At 42.9% G+C, this 18,888-nt stretch overlaps 1 protein-coding gene across 56 annotated transcripts in view, besides 1 other annotated feature; it reads right to left on the bottom strand.

The window, feature by feature from the left end:
* Positions 1-759: 759 nt before the first annotated feature.
* Positions 760-18,888, bottom strand: part of ZNF438 (zinc finger protein 438) — a 187,780-nt gene continuing 169,651 nt past the window's right edge. For 47 of the 56 annotated variants that reach the window (XM_047424729.1, XM_024447871.2, XM_011519372.3 and 44 more), the window contains 2 exons: positions 4,659-6,495; positions 760-1,701 (listed from right to left, as the gene is read on the bottom strand). In XM_047424729.1, the coding sequence (XP_047280685.1) occupies positions 1,089-1,701; positions 4,659-6,495 (2,450 nt within the window). In that variant the 3' untranslated portion in view covers positions 760-1,088. Of the gene's footprint in view, positions 1,702-4,658; positions 6,496-13,807; positions 13,907-18,888 lie in introns of all 56 variants that reach the window. The other 9 variants (NM_001143771.2, XM_006717399.4, XM_011519377.3 and 6 more) reach the window with 3 other exon arrangements.
* Positions 2,890-3,390: an enhancer, noted in NCBI's record as "H3K4me1 hESC enhancer chr10:31135691-31136191 (GRCh37/hg19 assembly coordinates)". NCBI's record gives its function as "activates a minimal SCP1, AML or CMV promoter by ChIP-STARR-seq in primed H9 embryonic stem cells {active_cell/tissue: H9 hESC(primed)}" and the evidence as "EXISTENCE:reporter gene assay evidence [ECO:0000049][PMID:30033119]".

An 18,888-nucleotide genomic window follows, 5' to 3' on the forward strand; every position in this document is an offset into this window, starting at 1 on the left:
GCTGAGTTTCAGCAAACAGGGCTGGCCACACGTATGGTGCTTTCATCCAAGACTGAGATTATCAGTAGGATGAGTGCTGAAACTCCACTTTTCTAAGAAAATGATTTTGCAGCCAGGATGGCCAGAAGCTTCAAATGACAACTTTACTGATTCGAGGTAATTTCCCAGGAATTTAAGAGGCAATCATTTACTTCTGACTTTCAAAGAGAACTGGGCTTGAAAAGTACAGTTCCATCTAAAATTGATCAGCTAGCGACAACCCTCTGAAGTTACTTGGGAGTGAGGGAAAGCAGTTGAGACCCCTACACATCTGGACTGAACTATCTAGTTCATTTTCCAGGTTGTAAATTTTCTGGTCCCAAAGACTACTTGAAAATAACTTTTTACCAAGCAAGTAGACTTTTTATTAGCTGAAGTACTAAATTTTTTAAAAAATTATTTTGATATGGAACACTACAGCTATAAGACTTGCCAACAACTAATCTTCAATGAAATGTGCATTTAAGAAAATAGCAAAATTACAAGAAACAAAAATCTGAGTCCTGAAAACATGGATTTTAAATTATTGTAGATGACAATCTTATTAAAATACTGCTCTATATCATATTCAAATAAACCAGAGAATTTAATAAATATCAGCATTTACCATCTAACTTGATACTATGGTTGAGATTAAAAGGGTTTTGCTGCCTGGACATTTTTGACATTTGTCAATCTATATAAGCAGAAAACATCTGAACAAAAGGAAGGACACATGCATGTTTTCACTGAGAGCTGTATTTGAAGAACAGCCTATATTCTGCTAAATTTCAATCTTCAAATTTTGATCTTTTTATTTATTCTGAAAGTCTAAGATATTAAGAATCAGTACGTATTTTAAAATAAGACTGCATATAGTTAGAAAAATATGCTTCGAGAGCTTATATTTTATTTCGTTAAGAAAATAAAACCATGTACAAAAATCATTTCTGTTCACTCACACCAATCCTGTTGTTTGATCTTTGTGACTAAGCACCACCATAAAGCACGAAGCTCTGAAGGAAGGTGGCGGCAGAGCTCTCTCCTTAACCCCAGGCTGCCTTGGGGTCTCATTTCTCAGCTTCACTGGAAAGTTCGATCACTCCCTGGTTGGAGACCGTATTTAAAATAGCCCACAGTTTGGAAGGGTCCTCACAGTTATGCTGGTGCTTCCAGTGGTGGAGGAGGTCCTCTTTCCGTCCCAGCATCTCTGCACAAAGCAGGCAGTTAAAGCCTGAATGGGACCACAAGAGAAACGTGTGGAGGCCAGGACACTCAGGGCCCTGGCAGGTTTCCCTTGGCTTGTTGGTTCCTGACTGGGGTCCTTCATTTTCCATGAGCATTTCCACGCCATTCTGATGAAGGTGGAGCTGCCTTTTCAGTCTTGGACATGCATGTGATTCCTCGGAGGAGGAATGAACCTTCTCCGGCTTCCCTCTCTCAGGATGCCTTTTCCAGTCGGGGCTAGCGTGCTGCACCAACTCTTCCTGAGTCCCCTTGCTTCCTGGGAAGGTCCCTTCTTGTAGCCTGCCCTCAATTTCCTCTCCATGAACATCAAGTAAATGAAATTTTATTTCCGCAAAAGACTGAGCAGTAATCTGACAACGACCACATTTGATTTGTAATTTGACTTCGTCTGCCTGGTTTAGAAGGAAGTCTTCTTCCAGGTTGGACTTGTTTTCCCTGAAAAGGCCAATAATAATGAAGATAAGATTTCATGGAAAAATGCAATTGGAATCTTTCCTCTCAGCTGTCAGCCTTCAGGGATCTAAAACATAACACTGACGAGAAAGACAAGGGCTGGGGTAAACAGAGAGCACCTGGGAAGACCTTCTGCAAGGACCGTGGTGAATACTAATTGTCACTCCTGCTTGTGGCCACACATTTCTCCAGCTACCAGGGTTCATTTAGTCAACAGTCCTCTTCACGCATCTGTCCCAGGCGAGCTAACTCGTCTTTGGTTACCACAGGGACAGGAGCAATCACGTGGAAGAGTCACGTAAGAGCGCGTGAAGGGCACGGGAACACCCTCGGTTCTGTTGAAGGTAACGGTCCCACCCTACCCACTGTGGCTCTCCCTAACCTTGAGCACCAATACCTTCTATTCAATTTTGGCTCACTCTGTCATGTTCAGTAAAAATAAAGGGTGCCTACCCTATTTCTTCCTTGCTTTTCTAGAGTTTCTCCTTTTTCTTAGACATTTCTGTCCCCTTTAAGACCTCTGTGCCTTTCACTAATGAACCATGAAACCTCACTTCTTCCTTCTTTTCCTAGAGTTAGATTTTGATTTTTAGGTACAATGTCCAAACTACATTTGGCAAGAGCGTCTGTTTTCATTTGGGGAAGAGGAGAAGATTTCATATTCAGAAAGGAGCCAGTGAGCACCCAGCTGAAGGTGCAGCCGGGACTTGTGGGGCTAGTCCTGAGAGTGTCAGGTTCATTTGTGCAGGGTTGGCCAGGGCCACTGCACCACCTGCACCTTGCCTGCTGTTGCTGCTGGGAAAACATGGAGAGGAGGTGGGCAGTCCCTGAAACCTGCCGCCATGAGAGCCACTGCGATGGGGCCAGGCTGAGTCACCTGCTGGCAGGGGAAAACAGCACACTAGGGCATGCAGGAGTGGGTAGAGAGGGGCCCTGAGGCAGAGCTGGGCCAGGGGTGGTGCCACACTTCATGGAGCCAGTGGGAGCTGGGGACAAGCACGAGCCCTGCCCTTTCCAAGTTGACGGTGTGGGAGCTTACCAGGCACAACTGCCTGCAGCTGCCCAAGCTGCAGCTGTGACCCAGGCACCCCTGTGCTCTTGGAAGCTGGGAGCAGGCAGGAGCGCTCCTGCCCTCCCAGGCATCACTGTAGCTACCCTGCTGTGGCTGCAGATCCAGGCATCTCTGCACTCTCAGGGGTCCAGGAAGGCCCCTTTCCCCCCACGGGCTCAAGAAGCACCTGCTCCTGCTGCCTGGCTTCTCCCTGCTGTCAGCACCTGCTCCAATCTCAAAGCAAGGCTGGGGCTGAGCCTGGGCTCTGCTGTAACCTGGTTGGGTGTGCACACGCTTGAGGCAGTGCTGATATGCCCACCTCCTACCCCATTGGCCTGCTCCAGACTTTGGGTGCCAATAAGCATGGAAGGGAGGCTGAGGAAGGGGTGCTCAGGACAGCTCGGTGCCAGCCTGCAGGTGCCCCCTCAGCATGAACAGCCTGGGTGCCATAAACAGAAGCAGGGAGCAAAGAAGCTCCTGGGCAGAAAAGGGGAGGTCCCCGGTGAAGCCCCACCTTCAAGCCAGAGAAGCCCTGAAGCCTGGGGGCCAGGTTGCCAGTCATGTGGACTGGAGTGGGAACTTGTGGTGCTTTTCTGGGTCTGTCCATGACTGCCCATGGACCAACTGCACGCATTTCCTCTCCTCTGAGGCACATAAAAGCCCCGGACTTAGCCAGACTTGAAGAGACAATGGGACGACCAGTGGCAGAGAGGAGCTACCCTCTCTGCTGAGAGCACAAGAGATGACGGGGAAAACCTGCCTGCAGAGAGGAACTGCCCCCTGCAGTTCAACTCTGAGCTGTTCTATCACTCAATAAAGCTCCTCTTCATCTTGCTCACCCTCTACTTCTCTGTGTACCTCATTCTTCCTGAACGCAGGACAAGAACTTGAGACCTGCCAAATGGTGGGGCTAAGAGAGCTGTAACACAAACAGGCTGAAACACGCCTCTTGCTTGCCACACAGCAGGTGAAGAGAAGAGCTGCGGCCCTTTGGGGAGCTCTGTCCTGGGAGCCCCCTGAGCCAGGGCAGTGACTCCCTAGTCTCCAAGCTTCTGGGCAACATCATGTTCCTGGTGCCAACCGTGGAAGCTGCTTGTGATGTGCCTGGTCCAGCCACAGCCTTGCAAGGAGGTGGCACCTGGAGCTGCCTGGCCTGCAGCAGCAGCCGGCGTGCCTGCCTATGCGCAGTGGCCAGACCCCACGCTCACTCACACATCCCTCACCACTCTGTGCCTGGCTCGCCCTTGGCAGGCATGGGATCTAGGCCGGTAGCATGAGCTGAGTGCAGCCTGCTAGGTTCCAAGTGGGTGGAACGAGCCTAATGGGCCAGAGCAAAACTCAGGCCAAGGCGCCACTGGCCACAGAGGTTTCCGGCTGGTGAAATGACACCCCAAGGATCCCATAGCAATAATACCAGGAAGCAGTGCTTGCAAAAAGGAATGACACCAGAAAGAGTGAACCCGAACTGATGGGAAAAACAGGGCAAATGAAGAGGGTGGGGTCTGGGCACCTTAAGGTAGGGTCAACATGACAGACCCACCCACTCTGAGTCCCCAACCATGGGTCATGCCGCATTTTGGGGCAAATGATGCTGTTTAAAATAACGCAAATTCTGTGGATGTGATTTTGGGGGAAATTACTTGTAAAGACCACTGGAACTATATACAGTACTTTACTAGATTGGTTAGGGTAATTCCAAGTATGGATGATCAGAAACCAGAGAGAAACAAGATCATTCTTCACAGATCTAGGAGGTATACATAGCTACTTTATGAAATCTTAATCCTAGAGATGTTTTATAAACTCTCCTTTCTGAATATGAAATCTTCCCCTCTTCCCCAAATCAAAACAGACTCTCTTGCCAGGTCTCCATTACATTGGCACTCACCTCTCCAATGATCCCTCCATGCCTCGCACACTCATGTCTCTGTTCTTTGGTATGTCTCCTGGCTGCAGTTCACTGGGCGCAGGCTCAGTGCTGATCACAACCCTATGCACTTCTTTCAGATGGCCAAAATAGACTCGGATGTGGCCAAACACTTTTGCACAAAACTCACAACACATGAGTTTCTTCAGACGGTTCTCACCATGATGAAGTTTCATGTGTGTGCTCAGGCTGCCAGGACGTACATAGGACTTGCGACAAATCCGACAACTGTAAGGGCGTCTGTTGGTGTGTGTATTCATGTGGTCTCGAAGGTGCTGTTTGAACTGGAAGTGGTGGTTGCAGACGTGACATCTGTGCCAAGGCTTCTTAATGCCAGAGAATCCATTTCTGAACACGGAGCTGGGCTTAGGGGAAGAGCTGTTGTCTTGCTTACAGCCAAGATATTTAGGAGTGAGTGAATTATTTAACAAAACATCCTGTCCTAGGCCCCCAAGCATCTGGGACTGTAGTGTAGTTGGAGAAGCCAGGGAGGCCAAAGTGGGTATGACCATGATAGGTTTGGGCATAATGCTACGGTATTTTTTCAGGGTCCCCAGCTTTTGGTCTCTGAATTCTTGGGGATCATTTTTTACTCTTTCTTTACCATCTCTACACTTATTAATGATATATTTCCTCCTTTTTCCCTGAAATGCCAAAATTTCATCTGGTACCTTCCGTTTTCTTCCTTTTCTCTTTGCTGCTCCACTGTTCAGTTTTGTTTTGTGGTTAAGATCAAGTTTGGTGGGTGGACAAAAGGCACTTTCACAGGCACTCTGCTGTGACACTTGTGGAACAGGTAGCCTGCTTGCCACCTTGGTGGCTGCATTAAAGCCTTCTGTGGTGGAGGGTATCTTATCACAGTCGGCCTTAGGTCCTGGTAAAGAAAAACCTGCAATGTTAGCATCTGATTTGATTTTGTAAACCTCCATTGTCTTCATTCTTGAGTAGGGTGGGATTGGCAGTTTCCCTTTGGGGACTGAAGAGATCAACTGAACTGCATTGCCAAGAATGGTTGGTGATAAATTGGTCATGGTTTTTGCAAGATCAACTTGTTCTTTAAATTTTTCACTGGCAACAGCAGAAGGTTTACTAGATGTTATCTTGCTTACAAAGTGTGCTTTCCCTGAAAGAGCTGTGAGGTCCTGCTTGGCAGGCTCCTCTGGTGTGGATGATGCTGGGGTAGCAGGAGGGTTCAGACTGCCATGGGTGTTGGTCACTGGTGGTCTCAAGTCCCCATGGTCACTTCCATTGGTCAGCGCAGCTGTGCTAATGCTGGCTGGGGCTTGCTCTAGTGATGGTACTTCCTCAAATGGACTGGGTTTGTACAGGAGTTCAGGGTGGTGAGGTGGGGAAGGGGACATCTGAGGACACATTTGGGTTTGGGCAGGAGCTTTGCTACAGCCACTCTTAGGAAAGATCAGGATGGGTTTCTTTCTTGATGCTTTGCTATTTCTAGGGGGTTGATATCTAGGAATAGGAAGTTTCAGGTTTTCAGGTAGGGACATTCTGGGTTTCTGAATTGGCTGAGCTGAGGCAACATGTGGCAGAGCAACAAGAGAAAATGTCCCCTCCTGGCCAGCAACCTGCATCAGGGCATAGTTCTGGGTGGACATCCCCAGCAGCTTGGAGTTGATGGAGGGTCCCAGATTCACCTGATCAGAGCGTGATGGTGAATGACATGGCAGCATTCTGGACGTTAGGACTTTGGGCACAATTTTTGGTGCAATGGTCCTAAACTGACTCTTATTCTGCAAACCTTTCCTACTCTGTATTGTTCCAGAAGGGATGTTTGATTCACCTGCAATGACAATAAAATATAAAGAGTTACTGTATGTAACTGTTCTGTTAGTGATACTTCAAACAACAAGCATCTTATTTACTCTGCCCAGAACAGATTCCTTGACCTACCTCCAAGCCTTCTGGGCAAAATCTTGTGTCCCTCAAGACCAGCTTGAAGATCAATTCCTGCCTACCTTCCCCAAGGATTTCTATACTTATCTATGGTTCCTTAGCTCCTATTATGTTATTTACCATTTTCCATAATAATTTATGTGTTTATGTGTATCTCTACTAGTCAACACTGCTTGACAGCGAAAATTCCGTCCTTCTCATCCATGTATTCTGCAAGTCCATCCTCTCCATTTAACCTATCCCCACTCATCTTCACATGATGTCTGGTATGTTCTGCTATGTAGTTTATTATTTTATATACATGTTCTGCTTTCCCTATTAAGCTTCAGCTTTGTGAGGGTACAGCCTATATTCATCTCATCTTGATATTTCCCACTGTATCCTTTGTATAAAACAAGCGCTTCTTGTATCAAACTCATTTTTCACTCAATCTCAGGATACACCATTTGACCCACTGGCAGTTGAATTTGTTTTGCACAGTGGATGCATTCCAGACTGAATGCTAGCTTTGTTGCTGTTTCCCCATGTGACTTACGAATTTCTTCTCACACCTTTCAAACTGTTTATGTGTGCTTTTGCAATTAAATCACCAGTATTAAAAAAGCTGATGTGACACCTTTAAAAAATGTTGAACAAAAAACAGAAAGATACAAAGTGATAAGTACAGATACAGAGACAACATGCAAAATATGTGAATGGCATAAAAAGCACCTTCTAGGATACTAATAGGAACAATTTTGACTGATAGGGTAACACTTCATTCTTTCTGGATTTATTAGCCTGACCTAAGATCAATTACTACTACCTTAAGAGAACAATTAAGGAAACATTTTGGTGTCCTGCTTCTAAAGACTGAATTATCTATTTTATTCTCTGAGGTCTCAAGGTCACAAGACCTGGCTGCAGAAATGTTTCTAATTTCTAAGTATCTCATATTAATCAAACTTCAATTCACATTTACTAGGCACCTACATTATTCCAATCATTATCCCAGGATTGGCTATTGCCAAGTCCACAATCCCTTTTCTGAAATTTTTGGAGGAAGATGTGGTTTGGAATTTATATTTTCAAATTTTGGAAAAGTAGTAAGATGCGTGTACTAAATGTTACATAACTCCCAGCGGAATCTGCAGGGCACCCATAATTGAACCTATTACCACTTCTGTAGCAAAACATGCAAATATTCGCAAGTTGGACAAATGAAGATTTTTAAATTGTCTTTATTTCAGTTCAAGTTTTTGCTTCTGAATGAGTTTGTAACAACTTTTCATAAACTTCTGTTTTCAGAGTTTTTTAGATTTTAGAGTTGGGGGTAGGGGACTGAACACTATCTGTTAGAGGATACAAGGTAGGTAGCAGACAATCTAGTGAAACAGACAATTGAAAATGTAAAATCAGCTGGGCACGGGGGCTCACGTCTATAATCCTAGCACTTTGGGAGGCTGAGATGGGCGGATCACTTGAGGTCAGGAGCTTGAAACCAACCTGGCCACGTGATGAAACTCTGTCTCTACTAAAAATACAAAAAAAAAATTAGCCAGGCATGGTGGCAGATGCCTGTAATCTCAGCTACTGGCGAGGCTGAGGCAGGAGAATCACTTGAACCCTGGAGGCAGAGGTTGTAGTGAGCCGAGATCGCACCACTATACTCCAGCCTGGGCAACAGTCTGAGCGAGACTCCGTCTCAAAAAAAAAAGAAAAGAAAATGTAACATCAACCTTGATTTTCTTTTTTCTTTTTTTTTTTTGAGACGGAGTTTTGCTCTTATTGCTTAGGTGAGTGCAATGGTGCGATCTCGGCTCACAGCAACCTCTGCCTCCTGGGTTCAAGTGATTCTCCTGCCTCAACCTCCCAAGTAACTGGGATTACAGGCATGTGCCACCACACCCAGCTAATTTTGTATTTTTAGTAGAGACAGGGTTTCTCCATGTTGGTCAGGCTGGTCTCGAACTCCCGACCTCAGGTGATCTGCCCGCCTCGGCCTCCCAAAGTGCTGGGATTACAGGCATGAGCCACCGCGCCCGGCCCGTCAACCTTGATTTTAATGCCTACAGTGAGTGAATTAACAATTTTAGCAGGAAGTTGATTCTTTCAGCAGAAATGACACCGCCTAAATAAACAAGCAACCTAGTAGAAATAAGGTGAAATTTATATTGACCAGTTTATTTTTAGAAAGTAATTGTTTTGCAAAGAAAAAGGACATTATGAAACATAAGTTCACAGGATAGCCTGCACGAGAGTAAGAAGTACAAGGACTAGTGAGTGCTATTGTCTGGAAAAATCAGACAAAGATAATTATGTTATTTGTTGTTTTCCTTCTGAGTTTGGTTACCGTGAATTCCGCTTATGGGTAAATTGAGTGGTAAATCACTTGACAATAGTCATCTGTATGGATTGCTACTTCTTCCTACATAATTTTAATTTTTAAGTTTTATTTTCATAGCCTTTAAATTTAAATGTTTTTCATTTTAAACCTCACCTTCTCATCTTTTTTTTTTTGGAAGAAGTACCAAAATAAGTCATAAATAAACACTTTAAATCAGGATTGAGAGACTTTGCAGAAAGCCTAAAATTATTGATGGCTTTTGGTTACTTAGAGATGTGGCTTAATAAATAATTACATTAACAGTAATAATGTTCTTTGCATTTACACAACAGATCTGGGGTGTGGAAGGAAGAGAAGAGAAAATATTGGGTCATTTATCACTAGTTCTTCCTCCTAACTGGGCAGAAAATATTTACCGCAAGATGAGCTAGAACAAAGGCTTAGTAATTCACCCTCTTGAAAGAATATGTGACAATAACACATCATAGCACAAGATCTATGACTTCCTCATCTCAAATCTGTCCAATGGCTCTTCATCTCAGAGTAAAGCCAAAATCCCTGCAATGGCTTAAAAGGCCTCATGCTTAAAAAGGTTCTCAGGAGCCTCTTTGACATATTTCCTCTACTTGCTCCACTCCAGCCATGGTGGCCTCTTTGCTGTTCTGGGCATGCACCTCCTGAGAGGAGGCTCCTGGCTGGGAGGAGCATTGGCTACTCCCGCCCACCCAAGACACTCTTCCCTCAGTAAATCCCCAGTACTTGCTGCATCGTTTCCTTCAAGGTTTTGCACAAATGGCTTCTTCTCAACGAGCATCTCCTCTGATGACCTTATTTAAAACTATATCCCATTGTGAACTCCCTGCTCCCTCTTCCTGTTTCATTTTCTCTAGAACATATGCTCCATTTATGGCCAGGCATGGTGGCATATGCCTGTAATCCCAGCACTTTGGGAGGCTAAGGCAGGCAGATCACTTGAGGTCAGGAGTTTGAGACCAGCCTGGTCAACATGGTGAAACCGTTTCTACTAAAAATACAAAAATTAGCCGAGTGTGGTGGCAAGTGCCTGTAATCCCAGCTACTTGGGAGGCTGAGGCAGGGGAACTGCTTAAACCTGGGAGGTGGAGGTTGCAGTGAGCTGAGATCATGCCACTGTACTCCAGCCTGGGCAACACAGTGAGACTACATCTCCAATGAATTAATGAATGAATAAATGAATAAAGTATCACATATAGGCCGGGCACGGTGGCTCACGCCTGTAATCCCAGCACTTTGGGAGGCCGAGACAGGTGGATGACAAGGTCAGCAGATCGAGACCATCCTGGCTAACATGGTGAAACCCCGTCTCTACTAAAAATACAAAAAAATTAGCTGGGCGTGGTGGTGGGCGCCTGTAGTCCCAGCTACTCGGGAGGCTGAGGAAGGAGAATGGCGTGAACCCGGGAGTTTGCAGTGAGCCGAAATAGCGCCACTGCACTGCAGCCTGGGTGACAGAGCGAGACTCCATCTCAAAAAATAAAAATTAATAGATAAAGTATCACATATACTGCCTGGCTTCCCTAGAATTCCTAGAGGACAGGGAGTTGGTCTGTGTCTTCAGGGCCTACAGTGTCCAGTACGTGACAGAGATTTACTAAATATTTGTTGAATTTTTAAAGTGGTAATAGAGTGATCAATGAGAAAAATAAATAATTTAGAGGTTGAGCCTTGGAAATTTTGTAAACAGTGGGGAAAAAAAGAACACAATTTAAAAATGACCTTTAACATTTCCATATTTTGAAAATTAAAAAAGAAACAGAGGATATTTCTCTGAGACATCTTAAAATGTAATTTTATTTATTGCCAGAATAAGGAGCTAATAATCAACTACCTACCTGAGGAAATAACAAAAGAGAATGGTAAATTATGCTGCTGGGGCATAAACTGAAATAGTCAACGAAACAAGCAAGCTCTACAGAAAACAGACACACAGAGAGGAAGAGTGGGGGGATTAGAGCGAAGACAGAGGAACAATAGAAAGGGAAACTGAACCTCGGAGGCAGAGCATGGTAATGTCAACAAGAAGAAAGGCAGAAATAACAGACAGCAAAAGATGCAGCTGAAGCAACAACAGTGGTCAAGGTCACCTCGAAGTCTCTAAAGACTTAAGTTGGGAAGGGGCTTCCTATTTTTTATGACCAAGTGTGAGAAAGCAACCTTCTGACAGTTAAGGTTTCCAGAAATGAAACCAGATATACTTCATAGAGCCATACCAAAAGGGAGTGAGCTAATTATGATATATTTGAAGTAAATGTGCTTCAACGGATCTTCAAATGTCTCCACATTATAGTGGAAATAAAATCACATAGGAAGAGCAAGGGCATTCAAAGGAAAAGGAGGCCACTGTGGCCTGGGAACAACAGGACACTCCTGAGCTCTGTCCTGGCTGCGAGAGCACCGATCAGTGTGAGCAGTGTGGGCAACCTGAAGTGACAGAGGCCCAGACGACTGGTATGATGTCTGCCAAACTGAGTCCGTGCTCCTCAAGGTCCCTGCGATTTAAAGAAGTGGATGCTGGGGTTGAAAGTCTTATCAGGTGGTTCATGATCAATATCACAAGCTAATCACAAAGAGTTTGTGGGGTGAAAAGATAAGGTCTTGTTGAGTACATTTAACATACTTATGCTTGTCTGGATCTATCAGGAAGTACATACAAGGTTAAGGGTCTCCATGAAGGTGGTGTTGAATCCAATTTCTCAGAATCATTATGGATAAATAACTAAACCAATGTGTTAGTAGAAATGCAAGGCAGGAGAAAGACAGCAAGGCCACAGAAACAGAAGAGAAAAAACCCTCGTAATTACTTAAGTGTCCACCAACAGGGTGCTAATAAGATAATCATCCAACCATACAATGTAATACCACGCAGTAATAAAAACAAAGAATGAATCAGGGTGATCTGGAATACTCTCCAAGATGGGAGATGTACAGTATGCTATCACTTGGATTAACAAAAATGAGAAGATACACACACAAATATATCCTTTATATGTGCAGAATATCTCTGAAATGAAACAAAAGAAATCAGGATTATGGTGGCCTTTGTTGGGTGGAGGGACCTGGAGGAACTAAGAAGTCAGGAATGGGATAAGTGCTAACTTCCCACCGAATACGCTCTGTGCCTGGCACACAGGAGGTGCTTAGACATATTTGTTTAATGAATGAAAGGAAAACGAAAGTTTCCCTAGTTGAATCAGTTTTAAAAAGCAGTATCTTTTGGGATATTTGTGATGAGTGTGTGTCTATGCATAAATGACTGTCTAGATGTACACACAGAGAATGGCTCATGTCTTTTATTTTCCTTGACTACTTAATGACAAGAATTGCTAACGATCAGGGAAGTAATCTAGTAAGTAATCCGACAGGCAGTGCATAACTATCCACCAAAGTTAAGCACTGAGAAGTATTAGAGCTCATTACCTCCCAAGGACAAGTGGAGTTGTACAAATTATTCCTCCAAACATTTGCTCTTTAAGATAAAATAAGGCAATTTGCAATAAAGGCCAGTTATGCTAGAATAACTCGTGTTTTTTTGTTTTGTTTTGTTTTGTTTTTTAGTAGTCTGAACAACAGGAGTCCTTACAGAAGCTGAAAATGCCATTAAGTTTTCAAAAACTCTAACATACTAAGATAGTATGTCTGCAGAGTCTTTCTTGGCAATATAGTTATACAACAGTGGTTTATTCCACTACACATTTACAAGGCCTTTCACAGATGGTGTGATCTAAAAACTCTCACCTGCACCCACTAAATTACAGATCTTACAGAACTGTGCACTAAATAATGAGAAGTAAAAATTTCCACTGACATTCATAATTTCTGGAAATCCTGCACAACTACCCGTAACACAGTTAAAGAGACTCACAGGACTCTCAGGTACTAAACATGGACTTTTATTAACTGAAGACATAAAAGTGTCGCTCAGTAAAATTAATTGTGTACAATTATTCAACAGGAATACTTAATATTAGGATCTTAAATATGGGCTGTTTTTAATATGTTAAGCATACTAAAATAACAATTTTGAAAAGTGACATTTACAGTTGGTGAGAAATTGATCTAGCTGGGATTAAAGGGAAACTAGGAAGTGTTGAGCCCTTATTATGGTCTAGAATTAATGCTAGGTCTTTTAATTAAATCTTCATCCAAACTCTGCGAATAAGTATTACTGTTCCCCTTACACAGATTAAGAAAAATGAGGTTTGAGGAAGTTAAATAATCTGCCAAAGTCCACATAACCCAGAGCTGTCCCACTCCAATTTGAAGCAATGACCTTTTTCTTCATTTTCCTTCAAAGGGCAGGGGGATTATATGTAAAGTTGTCTGAATTTATCACAAAATATAATACCATATCTAAATTTTAAATAGAAAAAATAAATTTTGAAATAGAAATGGCTTGTCATATTCTAAAATTTCTTTTTTTTTTTTTTTTGAGACACAGTCTTGCTGTCACCCAGGCTGGAATGCAGTGGTGAGATCTTGGCTCACTGCAACCTCTACCTCCCAGGTTCAAGTGATTCTCCTGCCTTAGCCTCCCGAGTAGCTGGGATCACAGGCATGTGCCACCATGCCCAGCTAATTTTTCTATTTTTAGTAGAGGCGGGGTTTCACCATGTTGGCCAGGCTGGTCTTGAACTCCTGACCTAAAGTGATCCACCCGCCTTGGCCTCCCAAAGTGTTGGGATTACAGGTATGAGCCACCCCATCTGGCCTAAAATTTCTATTACCATTAAATTATACTAACTTTCTGAAAGCCCACTTATTAGAGATAACTCACAGAAAATTAATAGTCATTTGAAAGCAAAAGCATATTTTTATATTTGAATTTGCCACTTACTATCCATAGGACTCTGAGAAATCCAGAAAGGCTGTTGGATATTTGGAGAATGTGCAACGTGTGTCCTCCTCCTCCTCCATTGCCATCAAAGGATTGGATCTGATGGATATCATTTACATGTTAAAGGCAGTGGAGGAAAGAATGAGGGCTCAATAGCACTAGGTGCCAATGTCTTACCCAGCTTTATTAAACTGTTTCACAATGCAGCTACCACAAATAGTATTAAGAGACAAGCACATGAGGCAATTCTCTAGATAGCTACAAACAGCTCACTTCCTGATGTCCATTGGCAGAACCAAAGCCTGCTCTGTTGCTTCTGAATAAAGTTGTTCAACCTCTTCTGGTCGCTGGTTTGGGCAAAGTTCCATTATTCCATCTGCTGGGGCCCACAGGCCTACTGCTAAGAGTGCAGAAGGGAGCAGGCAGAGAAAGAGAGGCGTGTCCCTGCTCTTGAAACAGGCCCCCTGGATCCAGGCTCACGAGGAAAGTTCTGCCAAGTCTTGGTCACTAAAGAGCCAAAAATTTTAGGTGTTGTTCTGGTTTTAATTTTATTAAACTGAAATACTCTATTTTCAATTTCATTCGTTGTTATCCCTGTTTTCCCTGCCACTTGGCTTTCAAATAATAAATTCCACTTGGGGTTCAAACTGTTTCCCAAGATGGTCTCTAGTTAAAATAAATATGGTAAAACCCTGGAGAGGTCTGGGATAAAAGCAATGTCTCATAACACAAGGGAGTGCAACTTAATTTTGTTGAAAAACCTATAAACACCTTTAGCCATTGCCTACCCTCTCCCCAAGCTACTGTCCAGGGTCTGCAGCAGCAGTCAGAGTCAACAGGAATTTATTGAGCACTGACTATGGAGCATGCACTGTAAAACGTGCCGGCAATAGGCACAAGTGTTCTTTTGTTTCTAAGGACTCAGGATGCCAAATGCATTTCTAGTCCACATATCTGCAGCATGGAGACCTCCTAGAGTCATCATGTCTCAGACCTAAGTTTCAGGAAATTTGAGACAATGCAAAGGAAACAAGCACATTCCTAACTGGAGATCTTGTATCCTGAATCTAGTTTAGTCCATTCTCCTTGACATACTTGTGTGTTCTGCTCAATTATTGCTCTTAGCTAACTCCCCTCTCCCTCCTTAACACCACCAGTGACATGCAGGGCAACTTCCACTCAGCACAGGCCTTTGAGATTTGTCTTGTCAAACAGTGCATCCATCACCTCACTTCGCAGGGAAGGAAATTCTCATTTTCTGAGGAGCTGAGCTTCTTTATCAATACTGTTTCTTTAATATTATCCCAATGATAAGCAGATTTTATGGGTTAGGTACTGTGCAAAATATATAACATGCATTATCTCACTTAATACCCAAAAAACCTGAATTAGGAACCACTGTTGTATCTGTTTGTTTTTGAGACAGGGTCTCACTCTGTCACTCAGGCTGGACTGCAGTGGTGTAATCACGGCTCACTGCAGCTTCAAACTCCCCAGGCTCAGCTGATCCTCCCACGTCAGCCTCCCAAGTAGCTGGGACTACAGGCGCACACCAACATGCTGGGCTAATTTTTGTATTTTTTTATATATTGTTTTGCCATATTTCCAGGCTGGTCTTGAACTCCTGGACTTAAGCAATCCACCTGCCTCAGCCTCCCAAAGTGCTGTGATTACAGGCGTGAGCCACTGTGCCCAGCCAAGTCTGTTTTACAAGGATTTCTAAGCTCATAAGTAACAGTGCTGGAACTCAAATCCTAGCCCATTTTATTCCAAAGGCTCTTTCTACCTCTGCATGCTGACTGTAAGCTACTATGTGTGGTTATGGCCAGCATCTGATCTTCAGTAGAAAGACTGTGTGTTTTGGGGTTTAGACAGATTTGGTTTCAACTCCTGGCTCTGTCATGTACCTGTGGCTTTGGCACTTCACTCTCTGTGCCTAAATGTTAGGATCTATGAAATGGGCATAATAATATCTGCCTACAAAGGTCCCTGTCAGGATTAAATGAGAAAAATACCCATGATGGTGCAAGTAGTTCCTGCTACATGTTAGATGCTCAGCAGATATACTAGTTTTCCACTTTCTCTTGCTAGAGACTATCAGGTTGTTGACATTTATTTTTGTTGGGAAAAAAAAGGCACAAATCTTGAATGATCAGCATATGGAAGTAGTTCTGAATCCTTAAAGTAGTGTTTCTATTTTGAAACGTAAATGAAGGAAAGAGAAAAGAAATGGCTATTACTTGTGCTGGCCTCAAAAGATAGCTTCCCAAAATGAAGACCTCAGAAGCAAAAATCTCTCTGCCCTTCTGTCCCTGGCCCTTCATTTTCCCCCCGAGATTAGCCATAGAATCTAGAATCCCTCTTCCCCAAGGTGAGTCATAGAAACCAGAACCACTTTTCCCCAAAGCCAACCATAAAACCTGAAATTATTACTCTAACCTTGGCCATAAAGAAATGATCTGACCTACTTGTTTGATTGTAGGTCATCGGACCCGCATTCCAGAGAGGGTCCTGCCTCATACCCAGAAGGAAGGGATGTTCCACAGAGAGGTCAATAGCAATCCAAAACAGACAAGCCTTGCTGGGTTTCCTCACTCACTCTATTAGCATTAGATGACATCCCTTTTGTTCAATTATATTTCTCCACAACTATCCATGTTTTGTTGAACCTCAGCATGAAAACGGACAGTTTCCCATCTTTGGGTCTGCATTCTGAAAGCTCTCGTGTCATGTAACACAGCTGATTCAATGTATATACCTTTTCTCCAATTAATCTGCTGATCTGTCAGCTCATTATCAGTGAACCTTCAGAGGGGTGAAGAGGAAGTTTTCCTTTGCCTCTATGCTTGTAAATAATGAAACTGTATTTTAAATCTTGTGCCTCTCTTTTGACACTCACGCTGGTAGCTCAATCTTTCCTAACATCTAATCCAATCCGTCTTGCCAGGCTCTTTGATTCCCTGTCCAGAACCCACTCCCACTTGCCCTTCTGTAAATTTTTGTATCCCAGTTGATAAAGTGCTAATTGGATTAACAATTCAATGCGAATAGGGTTAACATACATGCATTTTAAAGAGCTACTTTATGGAGACACTCCTTCCCACTTTTGTTTATACCTAGTAAGTAGTGAGGCCAACTGTTGGTCTTAAACCTAGCAGGGAAGAAAGCAACTACCCTAGTAGTTGTTCAAGAAAGTGGGGTAAGTACAGATCTCAGTGGCCCTGTGATGGGGGATGGGGCCCAGAGTGGGGTTAGGGACACTTGCCTTGCAGACTTTAGTATTTTGCCGAATAAATTATTATAAGTTTTAAGACAGCCTGAGTACAGAAAGAAAAGTTAGGCACTGAAAGAGGAACTATAGCCCCTAAAATGGACTAAATGAGATATATAAATACAGTTGTCCCTTACCATCTGTGGGGGATTGGTTCCTCCACAGGACAATGACCTCCTTTAGACACGCAAATCCATAGATGCTCAAAACCCTGATGTAAAATGGCACAGTGTTTGCACATAACCTATGCATACCTCCTCCTGTATACCCCAAATCACCTTTAGACTGCTTTTAATACCTAGTGCAATGTAAATACTATGTAAATAGTTGTTTTACTGTATTATTTAGGGAATGATGACAAGGAAAAAAATGTCTATACATATTCAATATAGATGCAGTTCGAAATTTTTTTTCAATCTCTGGTTAGTTGAATCCATGGATGCAGAACCCACAGATGCAGAACAGGATGTGGAGGGCTGGCTATATCATGCTGCAAGAGGAAACAAGCATTCTTTGTGAAAGAATTTAAAAGCCAATTACCTAGAATACTAGTGGCAATTAAAAAAAATAACACAATGTGGTTGATAAACTGAAGTAACTAATTATTCTTTCAGGGCCATATAGTTAATGTCCCAAGGGAAAAGTACATTTAAAAAGCTTTACCACTTAAAATATATTTTAATGATTCTCAATTTCAATGAATTTCTTCTTCATTCTAATTATGAAGCTTTTATTAGTTATTTCTGGAAGGAATTGTTTTTGATTTGGAATGCTTCTGATAAAAAATGGTTGAAAGCCATATGAAATTATGTTTGTTTTTAATACATTTAGAAAGATAAAGTTGTTTATTTTTTGGCAAAAATAATTTGTAGCACGCAAAAGATTTTATTCATTATTACAAAACATCCAAGCCAGTATCTTTACTCAAATCTAAGAATGACCGAGGAGCATAAGAAGTTAACTAAGAGCTAATGACCTTCCAAGGACACTAAGCCAGGCAAATGGAAACTTCTGAAATGCTTTGTTAACCCCATTCTCTCAATATTCTTTTTGTTGTTATTATCACTAAAATTGTTAATACTCAGTTGAGTCCTACAGTTGAAATTTGGACCTTGACAACTGAACTCCAACATGGTGAAAAGCAGCAGGTCATTTCATTTGACCTTCTATCACCATCACAAATACCTGTGCACGCTGTCCTTCCAGAACATTCTGACATTTGCCGAGTCAGCTGTTTCTCAATGGGGCTGGTGAACATGGAAACATCCACAAAAGAGGTTTAGTGAGCTGCACAGATATGGCATGGCAAGAAATCTTCCACCAACAAACTAAAAATGGGCCCTTTTTCTTTATATTTTCTTTTTCTTTTGAGACAGGGACTCGCTCTATCACCCAGGCTGGAGGGCAATGGTATGATCATAGCTCACCCGCAGCCTCAAACTCCTGGGTTCAAGTGATCCTCCTGCCTCAGCCTCCCAAGTAGCTGGAACAACACATGCACACCACCCTGTGTGGCTAGTTTTTAAACATTTTTTTGTAGAGTTGAAGTCTCACCATGTTTCCCAGGCTGGCCTCAAACTCCTGGGCTCAAGAGGTCCTCCTACCTCAGTTCCCTAAGTGTTGGAATTACAAGCATAAGCCATTGCACCCGGCCTACTTTTAGTTTTCAATAGCAGTTGCAACAGTTAAGTATCTTTGATGACTAACAAGATGACAGTTGGTGAAGAAAACCTTTTCCTCAGTGGGATAAACAGAAAGATAAGGTTTCAACATCAGAATGTGAAGTCAGTTGGAACAATTAAACTAGGAC

This window comes from Homo sapiens, chromosome 10, assembly GCF_000001405.40.
Source record: "Homo sapiens chromosome 10, GRCh38.p14 Primary Assembly".
Classification (NCBI taxonomy): Eukaryota; Metazoa; Chordata; class Mammalia; order Primates; family Hominidae; genus Homo; species Homo sapiens.